Source organism: Homo sapiens, chromosome 14 (assembly GCF_000001405.40).
Source record: "Homo sapiens chromosome 14, GRCh38.p14 Primary Assembly".
Lineage (NCBI taxonomy): Eukaryota > Metazoa > Chordata > Mammalia > Primates > Hominidae > Homo > Homo sapiens.
The window spans coordinates 20,364,032-20,387,759 of NC_000014.9; the positions used below are offsets into that span (position 1 = coordinate 20,364,032).

The 23,728-nt window shown below is 49.7% G+C and overlaps 1 protein-coding gene across 8 annotated transcripts in view, besides 1 other annotated feature; it reads right to left on the bottom strand.

The window, feature by feature from the left end:
• Window positions 1–1,635: 1,635 nt before the first annotated feature.
• TEP1 (telomerase associated protein 1) overlaps window positions 1,636–23,728 on the bottom strand; it is a 47,835-nt gene continuing 25,742 nt past the window's right edge. For 5 of the 8 annotated variants that reach the window (NM_001319035.2, NM_007110.5, XM_005268027.6 and 2 more), the window contains 37 exons: window positions 22,416–22,592; window positions 22,044–22,164; window positions 20,954–21,078; window positions 20,569–20,682; window positions 20,360–20,477; window positions 20,007–20,201; window positions 19,712–19,887; window positions 19,457–19,613; window positions 19,143–19,322; window positions 18,592–18,684; window positions 18,193–18,325; window positions 17,882–18,032; window positions 17,522–17,655; window positions 17,282–17,370; window positions 16,900–17,014; window positions 16,204–16,444; window positions 15,899–16,022; window positions 14,950–15,074; window positions 14,723–14,822; window positions 14,349–14,504; window positions 13,993–14,205; window positions 13,569–13,722; window positions 13,249–13,461; window positions 12,073–12,233; window positions 11,724–11,837; window positions 10,398–10,505; window positions 9,647–9,779; window positions 9,476–9,552; window positions 9,239–9,371; window positions 8,980–9,116; window positions 8,702–8,826; window positions 7,458–7,601; window positions 7,187–7,283; window positions 5,643–5,748; window positions 5,313–5,545; window positions 4,767–4,871; window positions 1,636–4,528 (listed from right to left, as the gene is read on the bottom strand). In NM_001319035.2, coding sequence (NP_001305964.1) covers window positions 4,406–4,528; window positions 4,767–4,871; window positions 5,313–5,545; window positions 5,643–5,748; window positions 7,187–7,283; window positions 7,458–7,601; window positions 8,702–8,826; window positions 8,980–9,116; window positions 9,239–9,371; window positions 9,476–9,552; window positions 9,647–9,779; window positions 10,398–10,505; window positions 11,724–11,837; window positions 12,073–12,233; window positions 13,249–13,461; window positions 13,569–13,722; window positions 13,993–14,205; window positions 14,349–14,504; window positions 14,723–14,822; window positions 14,950–15,074; window positions 15,899–16,022; window positions 16,204–16,444; window positions 16,900–17,014; window positions 17,282–17,370; window positions 17,522–17,655; window positions 17,882–18,032; window positions 18,193–18,325; window positions 18,592–18,684; window positions 19,143–19,322; window positions 19,457–19,613; window positions 19,712–19,887; window positions 20,007–20,201; window positions 20,360–20,477; window positions 20,569–20,682; window positions 20,954–21,078; window positions 22,044–22,164; window positions 22,416–22,592 — 5,200 coding nt within the window. In that variant the 3' untranslated portion in view covers window positions 1,636–4,405. Of the gene's footprint in view, window positions 4,529–4,766; window positions 4,872–5,312; window positions 5,546–5,642; window positions 5,749–7,186; window positions 7,284–7,457; window positions 7,602–8,701; window positions 8,827–8,979; window positions 9,117–9,238; window positions 9,372–9,475; window positions 9,553–9,646; window positions 9,780–10,397; window positions 10,506–11,723; window positions 11,838–12,072; window positions 12,234–13,248; window positions 13,462–13,568; window positions 13,723–13,992; window positions 14,206–14,348; window positions 14,505–14,722; window positions 14,823–14,949; window positions 15,075–15,898; window positions 16,023–16,203; window positions 16,445–16,899; window positions 17,015–17,281; window positions 17,371–17,521; window positions 17,656–17,881; window positions 18,033–18,192; window positions 18,326–18,591; window positions 18,685–19,142; window positions 19,323–19,456; window positions 19,614–19,711; window positions 19,888–20,006; window positions 20,202–20,359; window positions 20,478–20,568; window positions 20,683–20,953; window positions 21,079–22,043; window positions 22,165–22,415; window positions 22,593–23,728 lie in introns of those variants that run through there. The other 3 variants (XM_047431734.1, XM_047431735.1, XR_007064043.1) reach the window with 3 other exon arrangements.
• Window positions 15,505–15,705: a silencer, noted in NCBI's record as "peak2111 fragment used in MPRA reporter construct". NCBI's record gives its function as "represses an SCP1 promoter by STARR-seq MPRAs in K562 erythroleukemia cells {active_cell/tissue: K562}" and the evidence as "EXISTENCE:reporter gene assay evidence [ECO:0000049][PMID:32103011]".

The following is a 23,728-nucleotide window of genomic DNA, read 5'->3' on the forward strand; positions in this document are numbered from 1 at the left end:
GCCCCCAGAGTAGCTGGGATTACAGGTGCATGCCACCACGCCCAGCTAATTTTTATATTTTTAATAGAGACAGGGTTTCACCATGCTGGCCAGACTGGTCTTGAACCCCTGACCTCAGGTGATCTGCTCTCCTCAGCCTCCCAAAGTGCTGGGATTACAGGCTTGAGCCACTGCGCCCAGCCTAAATCTTACATTATTAAAAAAGAAGGATTAAGAGCCATTCTAGTGGGAAAGCACCAACACAGATATGTTCTTTGGGGATGTCATCTGTGTATTGGCTCCTGGTTCTTCTTTCAGACACATCGTAGGATACTTCCTCCCCATCCCTTGACATTAGGTATGGCCACGTGACTTGCTTTGCTTGTATTTATTAAATATGAGTGGAAGTGATGTGTTTTATTTCCAAGTGGAAGATTGAAGAGTTACTCGCCACGTGAAGCACAGAGCTCAAAATATGCGCAAAGTAGAGCAGGGCCTTCTCGCTGACCCTTAACGGGCCATGTGGCATGATTTAGAAATAAATCTTTGCTATTTTAAGTTGTTGAGATTTTGGGGTTGTTATGATAGCATAACTTTAATATTTTAACTGATAAAGAAACATACCCATCGTTCTGGATGAGAAGATTAGGTATTTGGAGGGTGGGAGGAGGGAGAAGATCAAGAAAAACAACTAATGGGTACTAGGCTTAATACCCGGGTGATGAAATAAACTGTACAACAAACCTCCATGACACAAGTTTACCTATGTAACAGACCTGCACTTGTACCCCTGAACTTAGAAAGAATACGAGTTTCACATTTTTTTGAAAACTAAAAAATTCGGTCCAGATTTTCTGATTGATTAAATATATACTAATAAATAAGACATTTATGAGAAAGAATAATGAGGTGATACTCGTACTGCTAGGTAACAAAAAGAACAGTCAAGTTAGCACTTATTGAATACTTACCACAAAAGTGTCACTGTTCTGTGTTTTACACCTTAACTCATTTAGTCCTTAAAACACTCCCATGAAGTAAGCACCATTATTATGGCTGTTGTACAAATGGGGGAAAGGAGGCATGAAGATTTGAACTCAGGCAGTCTTATTCCAAGTCCATGCTTTTTGCTGCTGTTACCCAGTCTCTCTAGAGTAGTGCTTCTCAAACCTTCTGAGATGAAGGACTAATTGTTCCTTTGTCTTTCTTTCTTCCTTCCTGCCTCCCTCCCGCCCTCCCTCTCTCTTTCTTGCTTTCTTTTTTTTCTTTTTTTTTTTTTTTTGACCAAGTTTCATTCTTGTTGCCCAGCCTGGAGTGCAATGATGCGATCTCGGCTCACTGCAACCTCTGCCCCCTGAGTTCAAGCGATTCTCCTGCCTCAGCCCCCCAAGTAGCTGGGATTACAGGTGCCTGCCACCATGCCCAGCTAATTTTTTGTATTTTTAGTAGAGACGGGGTTTCACCATATTGGCCAGGCTCGCCTCGAACTCCAGACCCCAGGTGATCCACCCGCCTTGGCCTTTCAAAGTGCTGGGATTATAGGCGTGAGCCACCGTGCCTGGCCTGTTTTAATTTCTTATCTGTCACGGAATAATACTTTTATAAAATATAATCAAAATGGATTATTAAGAAAATGAAATTAAAAAGCACACAAAATACAAGCCTCCATTTTTATTATTAAATTTGTCAGATATTACTTTTTAAATTCCTACACAGTTTCTAAATGGTTACTCTCAACTTCCGTACTTATCTCATTATAAAACATTAACAATTTGTGAACTGGCACTAGTCCATGAACCAAACTTTGAGTACCTCTGCTCTAGATTTCAAAAACAGATGTGGATATATGTGTAAAAATTTGGTATATAAAAAAGATGCTTTTCTAGATGGGTAGAAGAAAAGATTGTTCAAATGTCCTATGGTCTCACAATCCAGTGGTTATAACTGTAAAACTCATCCAGCCTTTGGGAGACACTGAAACTCCATTTAAAGATAAGAACTTGAAGGATGTTTAATGTAAACCTAAATTGATTTTCCCTTCAACTCCTTTTGGGTACATAATTACTTTTACCTAGAAGCTGTTCTTGACTTTACTCATAACAATTATACCATGACCTCACTGTCCTTCTCCAAGATGAAACAAAAAACCCTTCAAGTGGGCCTGGCCAACAAGACTGAATCTATTGAGCCTATTGGTCAAGTTAGCCTTTGCTTAACTTTCCCCAACCCCTTCACTCCAGCCTTAGCTGGGATGCTTTTATATAATTTTCAGAGCATGGAAGAGAGACAAATAGAGCTTCCTCCTGCAATTGGCCCAAGATTTTAGGGGAGCAAAAGGCAAAAGATTGAAATCAATGACTAGGATGATGCCATGCCATAGTTCGCTGCAGGATTTCTGGCAAGGATTATGGATCATAAATTTCAAAATACCATAACTAGGACTTCTAGTCACAAGGTAGATGTGGAAATGATGGTCCAGAAGGTATATTTCGAGGCTTGGCATGAGGCACATAAGAGAAGACAGAAGCATGGCCTATCAGCGGATGTCATCATCCTCTGGTCAGGATGGAAACCAGGGCATTGGATAGAAATAAAGTCCCTCAGGTTATTTCTCCATGTAAAACCTGGAATCAGGGTACAGTGAGAGTAAAACTCAGTGCCCTTTAACTCCCCAAGTCTTCAAAACTCATTTCTAGACCAGGGTGTAGTGGTATTTCTCCAAGAGAAACCTACCAAACCAGGACAAAATCCCTGTAATAGCCTTCACTTATCTCCTACAAGTCCTTGAATTCTTGGCCACAGAAGACATTTCCTTCTTCTTTAACCCTCAGAAAGAAAGGGCCTGAGGAAACTAAAGTCAGTGGTTTCAATCTTTTGCCTTTTGCTCTCCTAAAAGCATGGGCCAAGGGCAGGAGGAAGCTCTAGTTGTCTGTCTCCCATGCTCTGAAAATTCTACAAAACACCCCAGCTAAGGCTGGAGTAACAGAGGAGGAAAGTTAAGCAAAGGCTAACCTGCTCAATAGATTCTTCCATATGATTGAATTTTAGAAATATAATAAAGTTCTTTTATGGGCCGGGCACAATGGCTCACGCCTGTAATCCCAGAACTTTAAGAGGCTGAGGTGTGCAGATAACCTGAGGTCAGGAGTTTGAGACCCACCTGGCCAACATGGTGAAACTTCGTCTCTACTGAAATACAAAAATTAGCTGGGCGTGGTGGTGGGCACCTGTAATCCCAGCTACTCGGGAGGCTAAGGCAGGAGAATCGCTTGAACCCAGGAAGCAGAGGTTGCACTGAGCTGAGATTGCACCATTGCACTCCAGCCTAGGTGACAGAGCCAGACTCTATCTCAAAAACAAAAAAAAAAAAAAAAGGTTTTTTACTTAAGAAAATCAGAGTTCATGGCTATGATTGTGCCACCTCTCAATTAGTTTTAATCTTTGTGAATTTCAATTTGAGAGAGAGTAAGACACTTTCGTGATCTCTTCTGAGAATGCCAATTACCATATTGACTAAAGTTGAAAGTCGTGTCAGAAGTTGGGAAAACCAGAAGGTTTGTTCCGCTTTCAATGGCTTGGCTCCTCACCTCTCATCTGGGTAGTTCTTTTTTTTTTTTTTTAGACAGAGTCTCGCTCTGTTGCCCAGGCTGGAGTGCAGTGGTGTCTCGGCTCACTGCAAGCTCCGCCTCCTGGGTTCACGCCATTCTCCTGCCTCAGCCTCCCAAGTAGCTGGGACTACAGGTGCCCGCCGCCACACCTGGCTAACTTTTTGTATTTTTTAGTAGAGACAGGGTTTCACTATGTTAGCCAGGATGGTCTTGATCTCCTGACCTCGTGATCTGCCCACCTCGGCCTCCCAAAGTGCTGGGATTACAAGCGTGAGCCACCATGCCCGGCCTCCTCTGGGTAGTTCTGAGAAAAGGGCTGTCTCTGTGACAGAAACATAGCTCTTTCTAAATGCCCTGATGCATGACTGACTTATTCTCCCTCCCTCATTCTTTCCCGATGAACTGAAAGGTCTTCCATGCTCTGTTCAAATTGAATGTTGGCCAACATCACTCTCATTCCTCCTCCTGGCAAGAATGGCATCCTAGGGTCCTAGGGCCCGCGAGTGATGCAAGAATTCTAAAACCTAGTTTCAAAAGAGTACCTACTAAAGATTTCATTCACTTTCTTGTGGTTCTAGTAAGGATTAATGTTGAATAAGAAGAGACACACATTAGAATGTACATATACATACACATAGAATATCCTCCTGTTCTAAATCCACATGAGAACACAGGCAGGCCTACACTTGAGATTTTTTGACACTTCATTTTTATAATTATCAAGAAATTATTAATTTTATAATTATTAAAAGCTACCAGTGTCTTCAGGCTTTGCATCTCTAGCACAAGGGGTATCATTATTCCCGAGTGGCACATCTTCATTCCCAATTCAGAAAGTACACATTGCCCTGCACGTCTCCCACGGCAAGCTGCAGGGTGGAGTTAGCGCCCAGCCAAGGTTCCAGGCAGCTCACTGACCCTTCGCATCGGAACAGGCCCAGCTACGATGGGAACAAAAATAGGGGAGGTCAGGGCTACAAGCCTCCTTACTAACTTATTTTTTCTCACATTAATGCCTTTTATTTAGAAACAGGTTAGTCATACATTGCAAGTGATTGAAGAAAACAGAATTTTGATCTTTTGCCCTTTCTTACTCTAAGTTTGCTGTCTTGTGACATCCCTTTGGGATAGGTGTGCAGGCGCACGCACACACACACACACACACACACACACACTTACCAGCTGCATACTGGGTCTCTCCCATAGCTTAACATCTCTGTCCTTCGAAGCTGTCACCAGCAACTCAGGTAGCACATGGAGGGCTGTGACAGAGCCCGAGTGAATCTCAAAGAGGAAAGGGGAGAGCAGAATGGTGAGTTCTCAGGGGCCCCTCCTCAGAGAAGCATCACAATGTGCTGTGTCAGACCTACAGCCCTCCTCCCTTAGTATTTCTTTTTTTTTTTTTTGAGACAAGAGTCTCGCTCTGTCGCCCAGGCTGGAGTGCAGTGGCGCAATCTCGGCTCACCGCAAGCTCTGCCTCCCGGGTTCACACCATTCTCCTGCCTCAGACTCCCGAGTAGCTGGGACTACAGGCACCCGCCACCACGCCCAGCTAATTTTTTGTATTTTTTAGTAGAGATGGGGTTTCACCGTGTTAGCCAGGATGGTCTTGATCTCCTGACCTCATTATCTGCCCGCCTAGGCCTCCCAAAGTGCTGGGATTATAGGTGTGAGCCACTGCTCCCAGCCCTCCCCTAGTATTTCTGACCCTTCCTTCAAACTCACCTTTCTACGCTGCCGTGTCTTTAGATGTGGTGTTGGCTCACTATCCATGCTGGCATCACTATCCATGCTGGCATCAGATTCCCTGCAGGTAGATGGGTCTGTCCCTGGAGTTTGGGTTTCTGGAGTGTTTGCTTTTTTCTGCCACATGTTACCTGTGGTCCATTCTCCTTCTGGGCTGCATTTGGCCAGGTTCCATAGGATCCCATCAGAGCTGGCACACAAAAATGAGGACTCTGCCATTTTAAGGACAGAATTAGAGCCAAGTCTCAGGGATCTGCCATCCACCCTGGGCCATCTCCCGGCTCCTCAGGTCCTCCTGTTACCACTCACCAGATTCAGGTTTGGCTTGAGTTATCGATATTAGGGTCCTACTAGGATTCTCTAAGTTTATATCAAAGTTCAGCCTCTCTTCAAACTCTCCTGATTCCTTTTGCCTCTGTGAAAGAATAGGTAATTTTGTTTAGCCTACCCATATGAGTCAACTTGTACCAGACAAAACAACAGTTTTCTGCTCTGGGCTGGTCAGGAATTTTTTTTTTTTTTAACTACAACTTAGATACAATCAAGTGCGCAAATTTTTTTTTTTTTGAGACGGAGTCTCACTCTGTCGCCCAGGCTGGAGTGCAGTGGCGTGATCTCGGTTCACTGCAACCTCTGCCTCCTGGGTTCAAGCGATTATCCTGCCTCAGCCTCCCAAGTAGCTGGGAACACCGGCGTGCGCCACCACACCCAGCTGATTTTTTTATTTTTAGTAAAGATGGGGTTTCACCATGTGGGCCAGGCTGGTCTCGAACTCCTGGCCTCAGGTGATCCACTGGCCTTGGCCTCCCAAAGTGCTGGGATTACAGGCGTGAGCCACTACACCTGGGTAAGTGCACAAATCTTAAATGTACATCGGCGATGTATTTTTACATGTGCATCCACCCATGCAGTCACCCGACAGATCAAGATGTAGAGCATTTCCATCACCTCAGAAAATTGCCCTTATGTCCCTTTCCCATCAATACCAGACCATCACCACAAAAGCTAAAAATATTCTAATGTCTGTCAACTGAAATTAGTCTTGCTTGTTCTTGAAACTTCATTTAGGTGAAATCATATAGTATGTACTCCTTTGTAACTGGCTTCCTTTGCCCAGAATAATGTCTACGAGGTATGTCTGTATTATTCCATTCATCAGCATGCAGTATCACATTAATTTTTTTGCCATGTAGTATTCCATTGTATAGATATACCACAAATTATTTATCCCCTTTCTATTTATTAATATTTAGCTATGATGAATAAAGCTGCTATGAAGATTCTTGTACCCGGCTTTGCAGAATGTATGTACTCCTTTCTCTTAGGTATATATTTAGGAGTGGAATCACTGGGTCAAGCATAGGCTTTAGTAGATAACTTTAGTGGGTAGCAGGTCAGGATTTAATAACCTTCCCAATAACAAGCGGCTCCCAGGAAACTGCATTTGAAGTGAACAGCTAGCTTTGGCACACTCAATCCAAAAAGTGTTGAACATCTATTAAGTAACTGCTAAGTATGATGACAAAAACAAGATGGAGTCCTTGCCCTCAAGATGCTATTATTCATAGGGGCAAGACAAGAGAGACACGGGAAAAAATGCAATTGAGAAAACTTCTAGGTTTATGGTTTCCTATGGCTTTCTAAAACGGTAGAGTCCTTTCTTGTACCAGTGAAATCTTACATGGGAACCCAATACACAATGTCCTAAATTAGAACTGCTCCAGTTGAAGGAGGATAAGAGGATTTGCAGCCAACTGCCTTTCCCTTCCCTATCCTCCATGACGGGCCCCAAGGTGTAAAAACACTGGTCCTAGACGAATGTTTGCTTTAGCACACACTCAAATAGGACTTACCAAGAAAGAAAGAACTCCAGGATCCTTGGGCTGCAGGACAAATATGCCATACTCCTTGTGGGTGGACAATATCATAGGATTTTCTGTATAGCTGCTCCTGGTTTGTGAGAAAGGAATAGGTTGAGCTCAGGATTTAAAGAGAGGTAAAGAGAAGAACACCTCTCTTTAAGACTCCAGAGTTTTCTTCTAAGTTAGACTCAACCTCAGGATAACCACTAACTCAGGTTTCCTTTTTCCCCAGCTCAGGAGGAAATGGCATTTTGGATCTTACCAGATTTCAGATGGAGCATCCCCTGGCTTCATGCAAAGTAACTTCAAATCTGCTTTGGCCAAGATGAGAAAGTGACCATCAGGAGCCCAATCCAGACTTGTCAGCACCCCTAAGTCCTCCTGTAGAATTCGGTTCAGGTGAAGACTAGCTCAAAAAAGTACATGGACAGAGAAAGATCCTATTTTAGTTAACCTTTCTCAGGCTCCTCAATCCCACATGAATTCCTCAGGAATGAAGTACAAAGCAAAATGTATCACCTTCCCTGAAAATCCTGTTCCACTTTCTGGTTTTTGTTTTTTAACATTAGTATTCATCGGTGCCATCCCATTACTTGCTCAAACTAGGAATCTCTAACATTCTTGGCTTTTCCTTCCCTCTCTACCTCCAACTCACCAGTAAGGCCTGTGGATGCAACACATGCCTAAATCCGTATCTCCCCTTCTCATCTCCACAGCCCAGGTCAGGCCCACATTACGTCTTTCCTAGGCTATAGCTACAGGTGTAAATGTGGTCTCCTTACCTTTAGTATCTCTCTACTACCATCCATCTTCCATACTGCCACCAGTTCTCTTTATAAAATCCAGATAATTATTCCACCCAAAATTCTTAGCACTGTGCCCTCTACAGCCTGACCCCAGTTTATCTATTCAATTCCATTTCCCTTACTCCCACCAGGAATCCAAGGAGCTGGCTATACCCAGAATATACTACATACTCTCAACATCTCCATATCTTCTGTACATGTTCCTTCCTCTTCCTGAAACACTGTTCCCTTCTCTTACTGGTCCAGAAAACTCCTACTCATTCTGTAAGTGTCCAACCTTAAATACCAACTCCTTCCCACAATTTCTCAAATTTTGAAGCCCCAGGAATATGTGTGTGTGTGTGTGTATGTGTGTGTGTGTGTGTGTGTGTGTGTGTGTGTATCTTCATTATAGCACTAGTCAGTCTGAATAGTGCTGCTGGTTTAAATATATGCACATTCCTCTACTGTGAGCTTCCTTAATTAAAGGATGAATTTCATCTGTAACTGGTTCATACTGCCTGGCCCAGAGCTTGGCATCAAGTAGGCACCTGAGAATTATTCATTTACATTGCCATGGACAGAAGCAGAAAATAATGTCCCACTCAGTAACTAACATCCAATTGACCTAGTTCAGAAGCAGAAGTGCAGTAATTTGGGTAAAATGCCAGGAGTGAGGAGACTGCTGTTTCTATCCCATTAACCCATCAGCCTGTTTCACCTCAAATTTCCGGGTGCCGAACCCTTCCGCAGTTTCACTTGCCACTCGCTGATTTTCTCATCAGCACTGAGGACAAAAAAGGTGTGTGCCGAGGACCAGATCAGAGCACCAATGTGGCCTGGAGCCTGGTGTACACAACAAGTTCAATTCAGTGCTTCTGATGAGCCAGGATGCACCATCTTTTCCCTCCCAGGCACATATGCAACCTCTAACGCCCAGTAAATACACAGCCAGGGTAGAATTCACACAGACAAAGAACCAAGGGTACACCGACTCACCTGTGCTGTGGCCACAGCCTTAGCTTCCTGCCACAAGATTAGTTCCCCAGCTTGATTTCCAGATACTGCCATGGAACCATCTGGTGCCCAAGCCACAGCAGTGACGGCTGCAGAACTCCTTGGTATACATGTGTCATCTGGAGGAGAAAGGACGTGTTTCATTAGGAGCTGGGATACTGCTGGGATAAGAGATATCAGGCCACCCTTGACCTTTTTTTGTGCCAGTAACACACCCTGTCTCTCTCCAAGCCTCACTCACCTGCTTCCTTAGGAACCTGCCAGAGCCGTACAGAACCATCCTCAGAGGCGGTCAGCATGAGGCCTGAGGTTTCTGAAACAGCAGCAGCACGGACTGGGCCGCTGTGTCCCAGGAGGGTGTGGGTTTGGCACACCTAGGAGGAAGGGATGGAGATGGGCTCATGAGAGTGGGCACAACAGAAGGTTATTCCGCATACCTTCCCCACCTCCCTTGACTCTGGTCCTTGCAGGAACTCACCAAGAGTGGATGCCATAACCGTGTGGCCCCATCTAGCCCGACGGTTACCACCAGAAGCTCTGACCCAGGCTGTCCAGCTGATAAGACACAGAGACTGAGTCAGAAGAAGGGACGGAGCAGGGGAGAAAAGAAGAGACAGCAGGGAAGGGGAGGTGGCTGACGTTTTGTTACCTGCACGGGGCTCCATGGCAGCTGCACAGTGGCTAATGGGTCCTGAGTGAGCAGGGATGCTGGTCAGCTCCACGCCTTGATGGTCCCACACTTTCAAGGTCCCATCCCGGCTCACAGACACCACGTGCTCCTCCTGCCCACAGAGCACAAGATCAGAGCAGAGTCATATTGAGCAGGACATGGGAAACAGAACTTCCTCCACAGAGGTGGGTGGAGCATTAGGAGCATGGAAGATGTCAATGAGGGAGGAGAACTCAGGAACAGTGGGGTTGGGTGGCTCAGGACAGTGGGGTCGGGTGGCTCAAGTTCATGATACCAAGAGGCTGTGTTTTCATGCTCTCCTCTCTCCCTTTACACCAACCCTTAGCCTCAACACCATAATCCAATCCCAAGTATCTCATTTTCTTTTTCTCTTTTTTTTTTTTTTAAAGATAGGGTCTCACTCTGTTACACTGGAGGCTGGAGTGCAGTGGTTTGATCATAGCTCACTGTAGCCTTGAAATCCTGGGCTCAAGTGATCTCTCGCCTCAGCCTCCTGAGTAGCTAGAACTACAGGCATGTACCATGGTACCCAGCTAATTTTTATTTTTATTTTTTATAGAGATGGGGGGTCTTCCTATGTTGCCTAATCTCTAGGTATCTCATTTTTATGCTCATTTTGCCTCTGGGATTAGATACTCCATGCACCGTCTCCCAAAGCCCCCTTAGCCCTTCCAGAGACCCCCCAGTGGGATCTCCATTGCTTTCTCACCACAGCTGCCACAGCGCTCACAGCACTCTGATGACCCAGGAACTGACCAAGCCGCTGTCCTGACTCTGGGTCCCAGAGCCCCACAGAGCCATCACTGGAGCAGGATATCTACAGAGTCAGAAGTCAGAGGAGTGGGATTATCAGCATCCCTCCAGCATTTTGGTATATCTGTAGTGTAGGGTGGAAGGCGGTTAGCCACGTAATTAAGGGCCTGGGTTCTCCTGGGTTCAAATCCTAGCTCTGTCACTCATTACTTTCTGCTTTGTGGTCTGTTTCTCTTTCTGAGCCTTGGGTTTCCCAACTATTTAATGAGTATAATGATAATGTACCTATCTGATATGGTGGTTGTGGGGCTGAGTGCGTCTACATAAAGGACTTAGGCTGGGCACGGTGGCTCATGCCTGTAATCCCAATACTTTGGGAGGCCGAGGCAGGTGGATCGCCTGAGGTCAGGAGTTCAAGACCAGCCTGGCCAACATGAGGAAACCCCATCTCTACTAAAAATACAAAAAATTAGCTGGGCATGGTGGCAGGTGCCTATAATCTCAGCTACTCAGGAGGCTGAGGCAGGAGAATCATTCGAACCTGGGAGGTGGAGATTGCAGTGAGCAGAGATTGCGCCACTGCACTCCAGCCTGGGCAACAAGAACGAAACTCTGTCTCAAAACAAAAAAAAAAAAAAGGACTTAGCATGCTGCCTGGCACACAGTGAGCATATAATAAATGGTAGCTATTGTCCATATTATTATTGTTATTATTTTGAGATGGAGTTTCACTCTTGTTGCCCAGGCTGGAGTGCAATGGCGCGACCTCTGCCTCCCGGGTTCAAGTTATTCTCCTGCCTCAGCCTTCTGAGTAGCTGGGATTACAGGCATGTGTCACCACGCCTGGCTAATTTTGTATCTTTAGTAGAGACAGGGTTTCTCCATGTTGGTCAGCCTGGTCTTGAACTCCTGGCCTCGTGATCCACTCGCCTCGGCCTCCCAAAGTGCTGGGATTACAGGTGTGAGCCACCGTGCCCAGACCTAGGCTTTCTTATTAGAGAGTTCCCTGGCTCAGCTTCATCATTGACCTTGGAAATGTTCTGAGTTCAATTTCCTTGTCTGAAAAATAGAGATAAAAGGAGTATCTACTTTACAGGGTGTTGTAAAGATTAAGTGAAGCAATATATGAAAAGAGCTTAGTTCAATGCCTGGCACATATCAAGTTTGACAAATATTAGCTATCACTATTATTAATGGGTGCCAGAAAAAGGACGAGGTGGGGAGTGTTGTCTTGCCCCAGGAACCCAGCTGGGCTCTGTGCCACCCCTGGCCCTTTACTCACCAGTAGGTTATCTTTGGTCCAGGCACAGCCAGTGACCCAGTCACGGTGACAGGCAGGGAAGGAGTGGATCAAAACAGGGGTTTTGGGTGTCCTCACGTCCCAGCAGAGGAGACTCTGGATAGGCCCCAAGGAGAGGGAGCAATCAGGACCAAAGGAAGGATGGGAACCCCGGAGCCATTTCAGGCAAGAAATTTCAAGGAAAGAGGGGCACAAGGAAGCACAGGCAGACAGATCTATACTAGATTTGGCAAAACAAAAAGCAGGAGGAAGCAATGGGAAATGGGTTGTTAAGAAATCTAGGAACTAGAGAGGCTATGGGACCCCAGGGTTGCATCCTTCTGCAGCTCACCCGATCCCGGCCCCCGGTGGCCAGGCTGCCTCCATCAGTGCTGAAACTACAGCAGCTCACAGGGCCCTCATGTCCCCGCAGCTCAGTGCCACAGGGAAAGTCTTCTGCCTTGTGTGGCCGCGTCAGCAGCTGCCTTGGCCACAGCTGCACTGTGAAATCCTCTGCATTGGAAAAAGAGAGAGGGAACAGCTTCCTGAAAGAGGAAGCCAGACAGGCCCTGGGAGGCCAAAGACAGGAGCGGCCATGGGGGCTGAGGGTGACACCTGAGGCTCAGCTCCATGGGAGGGATGCAGGGAGTCACAAGGCTGTGGAGAGGCCCTGGGCAAGGGTCATCAGCGAGTGTGTACATAGGACGGGAACGTGCGGCACTCCCAGCTCCAGCTCCACAGCTCAGGCCGGGAACACAGTTCCTTGTCTCTGCTTCTCTAACTGTACTCCCACAGCAGCTGCTCCAGACCCCTCCTCTTCTCAAGTGTCCAGTGTCACTTCCACCTCGTGACCTGTGAGGACCAGTTCTCCCTCCTAGAGAGGGCCTAGGCCATTCTACATTTTCACCTCAACATCTCTCTCTCTCCTTCTAAGGGAAACCTATCCCTTTTCACAGCAAAGTCTCCCACGGGGCAGAAACTCAAAGGATTACTGGGAGGTTAGAGGTCCCAGAATGAAGGTGAAGGAATGAGTGGAAACAGTCTAAACAGATTATGCAAGATAATTGCATTCAAAAGCACTTTGAAAGTTGTAAAACAAAATCGCACATGTGTATTTTCATACACATATACATACAACTTGGAGAAAGGTGTTAGTGTCTTTAAAAGGAACAGTGATTTGTGGGCCAGGCGCAATGGCTCACGTCTGTAATCCCAGCACTTTGGGAGGCCGAGGTGGGTGGATCACCTATGGTCAGGAGTTCGAGACCAGCATGACCAACATGGTGAAACCCCATCTCTACTAAAAATATAAAATTAGCCGGGCGTGGAGGCGCATGCCTGTAATCCCAGCTACTCGGGAGGCCGAGACAGGAGAATTGCTTGAACCCAGGAGGCAGAAGTTGCAGTGAGCCGAGACCGTACCACTGCACTCTAGCCTGGGCAACAAGAGTGAAGCTCTGTCTTAAAAAAAAAAAAAAGAAAAGAAAAGAACAGTAATTTGTTAACCCTGCCCACTGTCTAGTAGTACCTGAGGCAGAAGCCAAGAGCTCCTGGGAAGTGGCCAGTCCTAGCACAGGCTTCTGGAATCTGGACAGGAGCCAGAGGGACTGAAGGGAGCATTCCTTGAGTGCCCAGCCCTGCAAGGACCCATCTTCTGCACCACTCACCAATACCTTGGGGCTTAGCCAGGCCAGGGCGGACACTGCCACATCCAGTGCCTGACCCTGAGCCCCCTGGGAACCTAGAGAATGAGAGAGAACAAGGGAGTAAGACACTTGGGAAGGGGTAGGGGGCAGGGGCTGCGCTCTTTCTAAAGGCTCAAAAACCCACCCATTCCCATTTCAGTACCTGAAGAGATTTTGTAGATCCTAATGCCATCCGCTCGATATCCAACAGCCACCCGATCACCATCTGGGCTGAGTGCCACAGAGAGGGCAGGAGAGAGAGAAAGGGAACCCAGGTGCCCACGGGGCCGACCCAGAGACCCTGACCACACCTGAACCTGGGAACCAAGAAAAGGGCTTAAGGATACCACCTCCACCACGCGGTCCTCCTTCCTGTTTTGAGTTACAGCCACCCCCATTAAAGTCCTCCTTCCAGAGACTCTTCTCATGAGAGCTGCCCCTGCACACAGCGGCACCCCTCTCCCCGTGGTTCCTGCAATCCAAGCTCCTCCACAGTCTCCTCGACAAAGGACCCCCACCCCCACCAAGATATTCTTTGCCTTTGCTACTCCTCCTCACAACCCACCACCAGCCCTCTGCAAGCTGACCTTGCCATCCTCTCCAGCCGTCAGTAACTGGCAACCCGCATGCAGGAAAAGCGCAGCAGCAACAAAGCCATGGTGGGCAGGGAAGGCAGCCAGCCGTGCCCCTTCTCGCCAGGCCCACAGCTCCACCATACTGTCCAGCCGGCCCACAGCCACAACCCCCCCAGGCACATTGAAGGCCAAGGTACGGATAGAGGCTCCGGGTGCCCCCAGGTCCTACACAGGGAGGTAGAAATGGAAACGTGAAGACCTGCTCTCAGCAAAATCTTAAGTGACCCAGAATGCTGCTGTCTGTCGTCTGCCACCCTCCACTCCTGTCCTCCTGTGCTTCCCCCAAGAGCAACACTGGACCTTCTTACCTTGGTGACTTTGAGCCCATCCACCTGGAAGAAGCTGATGCTGCCAGCCCAGCTGCCTGTGGCTATTACCTGCCCCTCTGGGTGGAAGGCAACACAGTTCAGGGACTTGGGGTAGGTGTGCTGGAAGGCCAGCTGCCCACGGACTGTGTCCCACAGCTGAGGGAGAGAGAGGAGGAATCAGGATGCTGAAGAGAGATGCCTGAACTTCTCAGTCCCAGACCTCCAGGAGCAACCTTGTCCAGTTACCCTGCCCTCAGCAGGGAAGGCCTTCTCTGGCCAGGGAGTCAGCAGCCTCTGCCGCACTGAGAGAACAAATTCACGAGGGTGAGTCATGGCTCAGGGCCACTCTGACCACTGCAGACCCCAAGTCTTACCTTTAGGCATCCTCCCAAGCACACGGTGGCTAGCAGCCGGCAGTCTGGGCTCAGGCAGCAGCCAGTGATTTGGTACTGGTGAGCCTTAGTCTGCAGCACCCTATCCCAGGAAGATGAAGTCAGTCCTCTGGACCCTGGCCATCAGCTCCCTCCTCATTTCCTTCTCCTGGGGCTTCCAAAAAATGGGGAAGGCCCTCATTCCAAGACAAATGGGGAGGACCCCTTACCGACAACCATGCTGCAGGTCCCAGAGCTCCAGGAGCCCGTCGAAGGCAGTAAGAAAGAGTGTATCATCGGAGAGGAACAAACAAGCAGAGATTCCATCACAGCCACTCACCACAGACTTCTCCTCCTGCGACAGTGGGTGAGGGAGCGCAGCTCAGGCCATCCCCTTGACCCTCCAAGTCCCACCACTCCAGGCCCCACCCAAAAAGAAGGCCAAGGCACAAAGGCCATGAGTCCTTGGCTCTCTATGTTCCAAGTCAAGCACACGTTCAAGTGGGGGCCTCGTGATCCAAGTGGGGCCACATTTTCTCCCCTACTCCAAACCCCATACCTATTCCCCAAGTTACAGAAAATTTTGATGGGTCTGAGAAAATGGGGTTACATGGGGTAGGGGATGACATGAGTGTAAAGAGGATAGAAAGAGGCTGTGGTTCTAGGACTCACCTCTCCAGCCTAATGTACTATTAGCCTCCCATAAGCACGCTGTGCTGCCATAATTCCCAGCAATTTACAAATTTACCAGGAACATTCCCCTCCTGTGTCTTTGCTCAGGTTCCTTGTTCAAACAAGAGTGCCTGCCCTTCTCTATCCTATGTCCTCCTATAGCTGCACAACTCACTCATGTCTTAATTAGATTACATGGCTATGTTTTGGTTCCTTTTTTACCTCGTATGTCTTATCTCCCAACAAAACTGACCACTTGGTGGGCAATGACAATGTCCCAAATCCTGTGTTTCTTGCAACGCTTAGCACAGTGCCTTAAATGGAAGGTGTGCAGCAAATATTTGCTGTGTGATTGATTTTTTGGCCAAGCCCTTTGAGCTGATGTGCAGGCAGTAAAGTTGCTGAATTAATCAGAGTGATAACAGGTGTGTTTGGCTCATCTAGGGCTTCAGGGCAGTCTGCATGGATTTTCAGAGGGTAAATTCTGCCCCTCCTTGATTGTCATACCTGCCAAGTTCTCAGGTCCAACAGGTAAACTGTCCCATTGGCAGTGCCCACAGCTGCTCTTTGCCCATTGGTGGAGAAGGCCACAGCAGTAGGGGATGAGGAAACTGCCAGAGACAGGCTGGAGCTAGAGAAAGAGTAGGAAGAAAGGGAGGAAATAAACGAGAGAATGCAAACAGGAGTTGATTTATGTGCTTCTGTGCCTGGATCCCTCTCCAGTGTTTCTGGTCATCCTTATTCCTCAGTTTCAGAAAGAGCTGCAGCTTGCTCTCTGGTGGGCTTACTAGGGTCTGGGGTCAAGGTCTTACCTTTGCTGATTTTTCATGGTCCGGGGTTTATTAAGCCATCGTAGTGTGTGTTGGAGGTGCCATCTCCGGGAGAGCAGCGAGGCTTGGTGGCAAAGAGGTGAGTCCAGGGGCTGGTTGGCTGCCTGCTGGGGCAGGAGCCGGGGGTACTGGCTGAGGATTGAAGCCTGCTGCCTCAGGAAGGTGCGAAACACTGCAACGTCAGCCTCGGGGAGCTTTTGTTCCTCTTTGGGGACTGAAGAAGCTATAAAAGGGTGGCAGAATGTCACTGGGGAGCCAGCTGGACCCCATTAGCCCCAGCACCAAATAAAACCATATGGTGTGTCTACAATAGTAAGTCTCAAAGTGTGGCCCTCTGGCCCTATATCAGGAATATCTCTTAAAAGTACAAAGCTTTGAGCCCCACTCCAAACCTAGGAAACCAGAATATGGAGACCCAAGGATCTGCAATTTGAACAAGTTTCCTAGATAGTTTTATGCTAACTAAATAAAGTTGAAGAATCTCTGGTCCAAGAGATCAAGGTGAAAGGTCTCCTGAGAGTCACGTGCTCACCCTCTTGGCATTTTCAACTCGAAATGGAAATTTGAATCTTTTTTCCCTGACACCCACACCCCTGCCCCAACCCTGAGCAGGGCCCCCATAAGCACACCCAGGAGTCCCATATCTCAGAGAAGAACCCAGCCAGTGACTCATCTCACCATAGAGGGCATGGGCCTCCAAGAGCCGAGAGACCAGACCCAATTCCAAGTGTGCAGCCACCACATGGAGGTTGGTAAGGAACTTCGAAAGAAGTCCACGGTTCCCGCTCTGGAGCTGAGAAGGTCAGATTGAATTCATTAGGGATATGAAGGGGCTGGTGAGAAGGGACAGTTTAGTCTCAGAACCTGGATACAGAGATAGGATCTGAGCTGGGACAAAGGACTTGAAGAAGAAGGGCAGGAAAACTGAAAGGAAAGAGGTCAAGGGAGTTTGGGAGGGGTAATGGCGGCGGTGATGGTGGAGATGGTAACGGGGAGAGGGGTCTCAGAGCAACCAAAGCACTCACTTTGGGAAAGGTGTCTATGGGGTCTAGGAACTAACCAGGTGGTAAGGCAGGTCTCCCAGAGCCTCAGGAGGGCAACTTCGGAAGGTGCCTGAGGCATCAGCGTCACATGTCTTCCAGAGCTGAGCTGCATGAACAGATATTGAGAAAGGCTCAGCCCTGCATCATTCCCAAGGGCAGTAGGTGAGCTGGCCAGCAGATGGGAGCACAGTGGGTGGTCCTGGCCTCCAGGCCCAAGCCCCACACTCAGTGCCCAGGCTGACTTGGGCTGCAATCACCTGCAATGAGGATGTGTGCCGTGTCCTCTAGCCCTGGCCTCTTCCCATAGCAACGTTTAGCTGCTGTTCTCAGGGGCCCATCAGGGAGGCACAGCCGGGCACCAGGGCGCTCCAGAGGGCCCTCCCCTAGCAAACTGTCCTCGTGTGAGGAAGGGAGAGAGAAGAAGGAAGAGGCCTGTCAGTGAGCTTCCTGGCACACAGTGGGCTCCTATTCCCCCCTCAAATAGCGGAAACTGGAGCAGCTGGAGCAGTAGCTCATTCATGGTCTGGGAGCCAGTTGTTGAAGCTATACAGAGGGCCCCGGCTCAAAGAAGGGAAGGCACAGAGAGGTCAGCGGGAGCTCTGCTGGGGCACCTGTACCTGCGCAGACTCTGGACGAGGCAGGCAAACGGGCCCATGGGGTAGGGGTCTCCACTGTTACCAGCAGCCACTGCTTCTTCCCAGCTCTTAGTCCCCTTCGGTAGTGTCCGCCACACACTCAGCACTCCGTGCAGCTGGTCCACAGTCAAACCTGAAAACTCAAGCTCTCTGAGGCCCTCATCTAACCATACGGTGTCCCCGCCCCCACCACACCCAGTCTCTCCTTGAACTGCCTGCTGAGACCCCAAGGGAACCAATGTAATCCGAACCCTGGCCCTCAGCCTCCCAACCAACCCACCCCAAGCACTGACCACTCCGTGTGACTTCTAGGGCAGTCAAGGCCTGGGGAAGGACATCAGGCCCGTGCTCCTTCTCCAGTGTGCTCAGGATGTGCTGCAGCAGCAGGGGGACAGTGGCAGGCAGGGTCCGGAGTCTCTCAGACACCTAGGATGGCGGGAGGACAGCCTTGTTCAGTGCAGTGGGAGGAGAAGCAGCTTGGCTTGTGGGATAGGGAAGGGGCAGCAGGAGGACAGTGTGGAGGAATGAAAAAGTAAAGAACAACAGTAGGAGGGAAGTGAGGCGAGGTATGAGGCGAGGATAGGGAGTGGGTGATCACAAGACAGCAAAGGACGTGGGATAGGGATGAGACAAAGCAGCTGAAGAGAGAATGGGAAGTAGTGATTAGGACTTGGAAGGTGATGAGAACTGACCTGCTCATACAGCGTGAAGAGCCTCAGGTGATCGGTGACCAAGCGCAGGTAGAGCGGCCGGCCTGATTCCCGCTTCACCAGCAGCAGTCGCATCTGGCAAGACTCAGGACTCAGGGTGGGGTCCAGGAGGGCTGCCCGCAGCCAGCCCTCTGCCCCAGCACCAGCCCCTCTGCCAGGCAGCTCCTCCTCTGAGAGTCCCCAGCAGACGCCAGGTCCATGGCATCATCCCAGGACACAAACCATCCCTCTCCTACGCTGCTCTGCCCAGCCAGCCCTGCCAGAAAACCCCTGTGGCTCGGCCTACCCCACCAAAAACCACTTGACTCATCCCCTCACCCCGAGAGGCCCTGGAAAGGCCATTCACCGGGGGAAGAGGGCTGGGTGACATGATCAGGAATCACAATTTTCTTATTAACAACTTCCCATGGACAGAATTTCTGAGAAAACAAAGGAGCAGGTCTGTGCAAGGCAGCTAGCGGCCTCGGCACCCCAGGTCCTCATAGCTCCCAGATTCACCCCACACACCCACCGGCCCCGGCCTAGAACCCAACCTGGTTGTTAAATGGTGACTCCTCCAGCCGCTTCCCGTACAGGGCCAGCTCCTCTCTCACCAGCCGGGCCCGAGCAGAGGCCTCCAGAGGCCCCAAGGCCAGCACGTGGGCACCCTGGCTCTGCTCAAGGGTCTCCCCTAGGCCTGCATCACTAGACACACTCAGCACCAGGTGTACACACTGTGATATTTGGGCAAAGGGGCAGGAAGGTAGAAAGAAAAGGAGAACCACATTGGAGAGGCCTCTCTCCTCCGTGCCGTATCCCTCCTTCTCCCCAGCCTGCCTCCCGACACCCACCTCCTTCTCACACTCACCCGGGGAAGCTTCTTTGGGATCCAGTCTGAAATCAGCTGCCCATTCTGGTCCACTAACCTATCAGCCCCATCGATGATCAGGACCTGGGTCTGGCCAGGATGCAGGGACTCAGCAGACTTGGGCAGCAGCCTCTGCTGCAGCTCCCACACCAGGCTTCTGTACATGGAGAGGAAGTCAGGGTCAGTGGGAGAGAAAAAAAAAGCAGGGGTGGTACGTGGGCATCAACAAGGCTGGGCTCATTGGGGGATACCCACCGGTAGGTGCTGGGGAGGGCACCTGGCTCTTTTAGTTGGCCACGCAGATAGGTACAGAGGCGTCTGAGCAGAGTGAGGGCAAGACCCTGGTCAGGACGAGCCCCAGAAAAGTGGAAGAAGACTAATGATGCCACCTTGGCCCCATCAGGAGCCTGCAGGGCTGACACAAGAGATGCCTGCATGGGACAGGAACAGAAAACATGGTCACATTTTACATGCCTGAGCTCCCTGTGCCTTACCTCCTTAGCCCACACAGCCTTCCCTCCCTCCTGCCCAGGCCCCTGAGACTCTGTACCAGGAAGGCTGTCTTGCCCTGTCCTGACTGCCCCGTCACCAGGCTCAGCCTTCCGTGGGGCAGCATCAGCCGTTGCACTGTGTCCTGAAGAAGGCGTGGCCGGGCAGGACTCGGTGGCTTCTGCAGCTGCTGGAAGGTGGCCTGGACCAAGTCATCGTCTGGGATGGACACTGGCTGCTCCAGCAGGGCCCCAGGCTGAGGGTAAATGGGTCAGTGACTATCCATGGTGCCATGCTCCTCAGCACTCCCAGGCTAAAACTCACAGAGCCCCCGCCAAGCTACTTCCTCCCCAGGACAACCCAGACCACCCCATGTCCCTCTCCATGCCTCTGGTCACCAGTGCTTCTGCTGACCTGCAGGTAGAGCTTCTGGATCATATTCCATACATCCTGCAGAACCAACTGCCCAAACTCCTCCAGCCCGCCAACATAGGGCCGGCCAGCTGCCACACCCCCCCACTCACAGGGGTATCTGTGGGCAAATCAAGCACAACCAGGTCAGAGCAGGCCCGGCTCCTCTCACCACATCTCTGTACAGGTGCTCCCTACCTCCCTCAGCTCACCTGCGGCAGGTGATCCCTTTCTGTCTGCTTAGGTAGCTCTTCAGTTCTGAGATCCGACGTGCGGCCTCTTCAGACTCAGAAACAAAGTCAGATTTCCAGGCATCTGGCACAGAGCTGACCACCAAAGACCCCAAAAGTTGGAATAGACTCAGACCCCAGCCAGCCTCCCTCCACCAACCACCAGACATAGCTGTAATTTCCTGAAGCTCCTCAAGTAGAGAGCTCCTGACTCCAGCACCAAGGCTGACGTGGGGCTGCAAAGGCATGCTGAGTCCTGTTTCTGCCTCATAGCACTCCCCTTCTATACTCTGAATACTGAGGAGAGAAGACTGGCCTGTCTGGCCTTTTGGGGAAGGAGCCCCAGCCTGCAGGCAACAGACAGTACCTGAGGAAGCTGGAATCCCGGAAGTAGATGAGAGCTTGGGCAGAGGGCTGCAGACGTTGGTTCCGGTTCAGGAACTGCATCACCTCCATCTCTGTCACAGAGCGCCCTGAAGGGTACTGCTGGGCCTGCGGGGAGGACAGAGACAGTGAGTTTAGTCCTAGGCCACAATGACCCTCCCTCCAGACCTGCCAAGGCCCCAGGACTCCTGTATCTCTGATGTTCCTCTCTCCTTCCCTCCAGGCACAAGCAATAAAATATAGCTAATAGCTAATGTTTTTTATTTATTTTTATTTTTTTTTCCTGGAACAAGGCACTAATAGCTAACATTCATTGAATGCCTGTAATGTATTGAGTATTCTGTTACAGACCTTTGATTTTTTTTTATTTTTTATTTTTTGTTTTTTTGAGACTGAGCTTTGTTCTTGTCACCCAGGCTGGAGTGCAATGGCGCAATCTTGGCTCACAGCAACCTCCGCCTCCTCGGTTCAAGCAATTCTCCTGCCTCAGCCTCCTGAGTAGCTGGGATTACAGGTGTCTACCACCAAGCCCAGCTAATTTTTGTATTTTTAGTAGAGACAGGGTTTCACCATGTTGGCCAGGCTGGTCTCAAACTCCTGACCTCAGGTGATCCACCCGCCTTGGTCTCCCAAACTGCTGGGATTATAGGCGTGAGCCACTGCACCTGGCCCTGTTACAGACTTTCAATTCTCATAATAACCCTCCAATGTCAATGTCATTGCTTCTCTTTAATATAGGGAAATGGAGGCTAGGTCAGAGTAAGCTGCATCACACAAAGCCACACAACTTGTAGATGACAGAAGGGAGATCAGTACCCAGATCTATCTGATGGCAACACCTAAGCAGACCCACCCTCTTACTTTTGCTCATGGCCAACCCCAGAGGCACTTCTCAAAGGACTTTTCTCATCTAGAGCATGGTCACTTGCAGTATCTTCAGCCTGTATTTCACTTCAAGTCTCAAGGACCTGCCTGTTCATAGTTGCAGGGTTTCTGACAGAGTGTGGCTTCTCCCAGCCTCTGCCCCAATCTTTGCTTCCTCCCCAGCCCTCCTCCAAACCTGTCTGCCTTACCCAGTGGAAGTGTGGATGGTCAGGAAGGTTGTAGCTGGGGGGAATGTATCCATAACGGGAGCCCAGAATCCCCACAAACAGCTGTGCGTTCTCCACCTCCCCAAGGCACACTTCCAGTTGTCTGTAGGCATGATGATAGGGACGTGTGGGAGTCACTGGGGGCATGGTATCAGGGAACATAGGCACAAACAGGGAGACGGGGCCCTGACTCGCAACTGAGTAAAGAAAAGGTAGGCTGCTCTTGTTAGTATCCAAGGAGCGACTCCCGCCTTCACCCTCATCCATTCTTGCAGCCCCAACCATGCCCACCTCAGGTCCACCACTCAAGCCCCTCATCCCCGACCCAGCCCCTCTTCTCTGCAGCCCCCACACCTGTTCCTACGGGTCTCCTCCTCAGTGACGCCCCAGCGGAGGTCGATTCCGTGAAGGCTGATACGGTGAGGGGCCGCTCGGGCCTGCAGTGCTGGCAGCACAGACCTCAGCAGCAGGTCCCGCTCCCCATGCATGTCTCGGAAAGTGGATGAAATGAAAAGCCGGATGCTGCGCCATCTGGGGATAAGCAGAGAGCTGGGCTCAGTCTAGGGATGATTCCCACCCCCCATCCATAGACACTGCTGTGATCACCCTTTAGCACTGAGCACAAGCCAGGTACGACAGACAGCAGATGGGTGCCCAGCAGGCCTTCAGAGAAGCACCTGCTAGTGGTCTCAACTGCAGGGCCCTGGAATTTAATGCCCACTTGCTATTTCTTGTACACCTCTCTTTTTTCTGGTAATCATTTTTATATACTTACTGCTTGTTCATGACAGCACTGTGAGGTAAGCACTATCATTATCTCCATTTTAGCAATCAAGAAACGATAACTTTTTTTTTTTTTGAGACAGAGTTTTGCTCTTGTTGCCCAGGCTAGAGTAAAATGGCGCGATCTCGGCTCACTGCAACCTCTGCCTCCAGGGTTCAAGCAATTCTCCCACCTCAGCCTCCCCAGTAACTGGGATTACAGGCATGAGCCACCACACCTGGCTAATTTTGTATTTTTAGTAGAGACAGGGTTTAGTCATGTTGGACAGGCTAACCTTGAACTCCCGACCTCAGGTGATCTGCCCGCCTCGACCTCCCAAAGTGCTGGGATTACAGGCGTGAGCCACGGCGCTCAGCAAGAAACTATAGCTTTAAGAAATTAAGCAACTGGTCAGGCGCGATGGCTCACGCCTGTAATCCCAGCACTTTGGGAGGTCGAGGCGGGCAGATCACCTGAGGTCGGGAGTTCAAGGTTAGCCTGTCCAACATGACGAAACCCTGTCTCTACTAAAAATCCAAAAAAAAAATTAGCCGGGCATGGTGGCAGGCGCCTGTAGTCCCAGCTACTCGGGAGGCTGAGGCAGGAGAATGGTGTGAACCCAGGAGGCAGAGCTTGCAGTGAGCCGAGATCACGCCACTGTACCCCAGACTGGGCGACACAGCGAGACTCCGTCTCAAAAAAAAAAAGAAATTAAGCAACTAAGCCAGATTCAAACTACTATTTGGCAAAGCCACAATGAAAAAGCCAGAACCTGTGCTCCTAAGCCCTCTGCCTACGCCCTGGCCATACGGCCATGATGTCTGCCGTCATCTTTGCATTCTGACTTCCTTTCCTCAGTAGAGAAAGGAAGGGCTTGCTCACAATCTGACAACTCCCTGTGGTA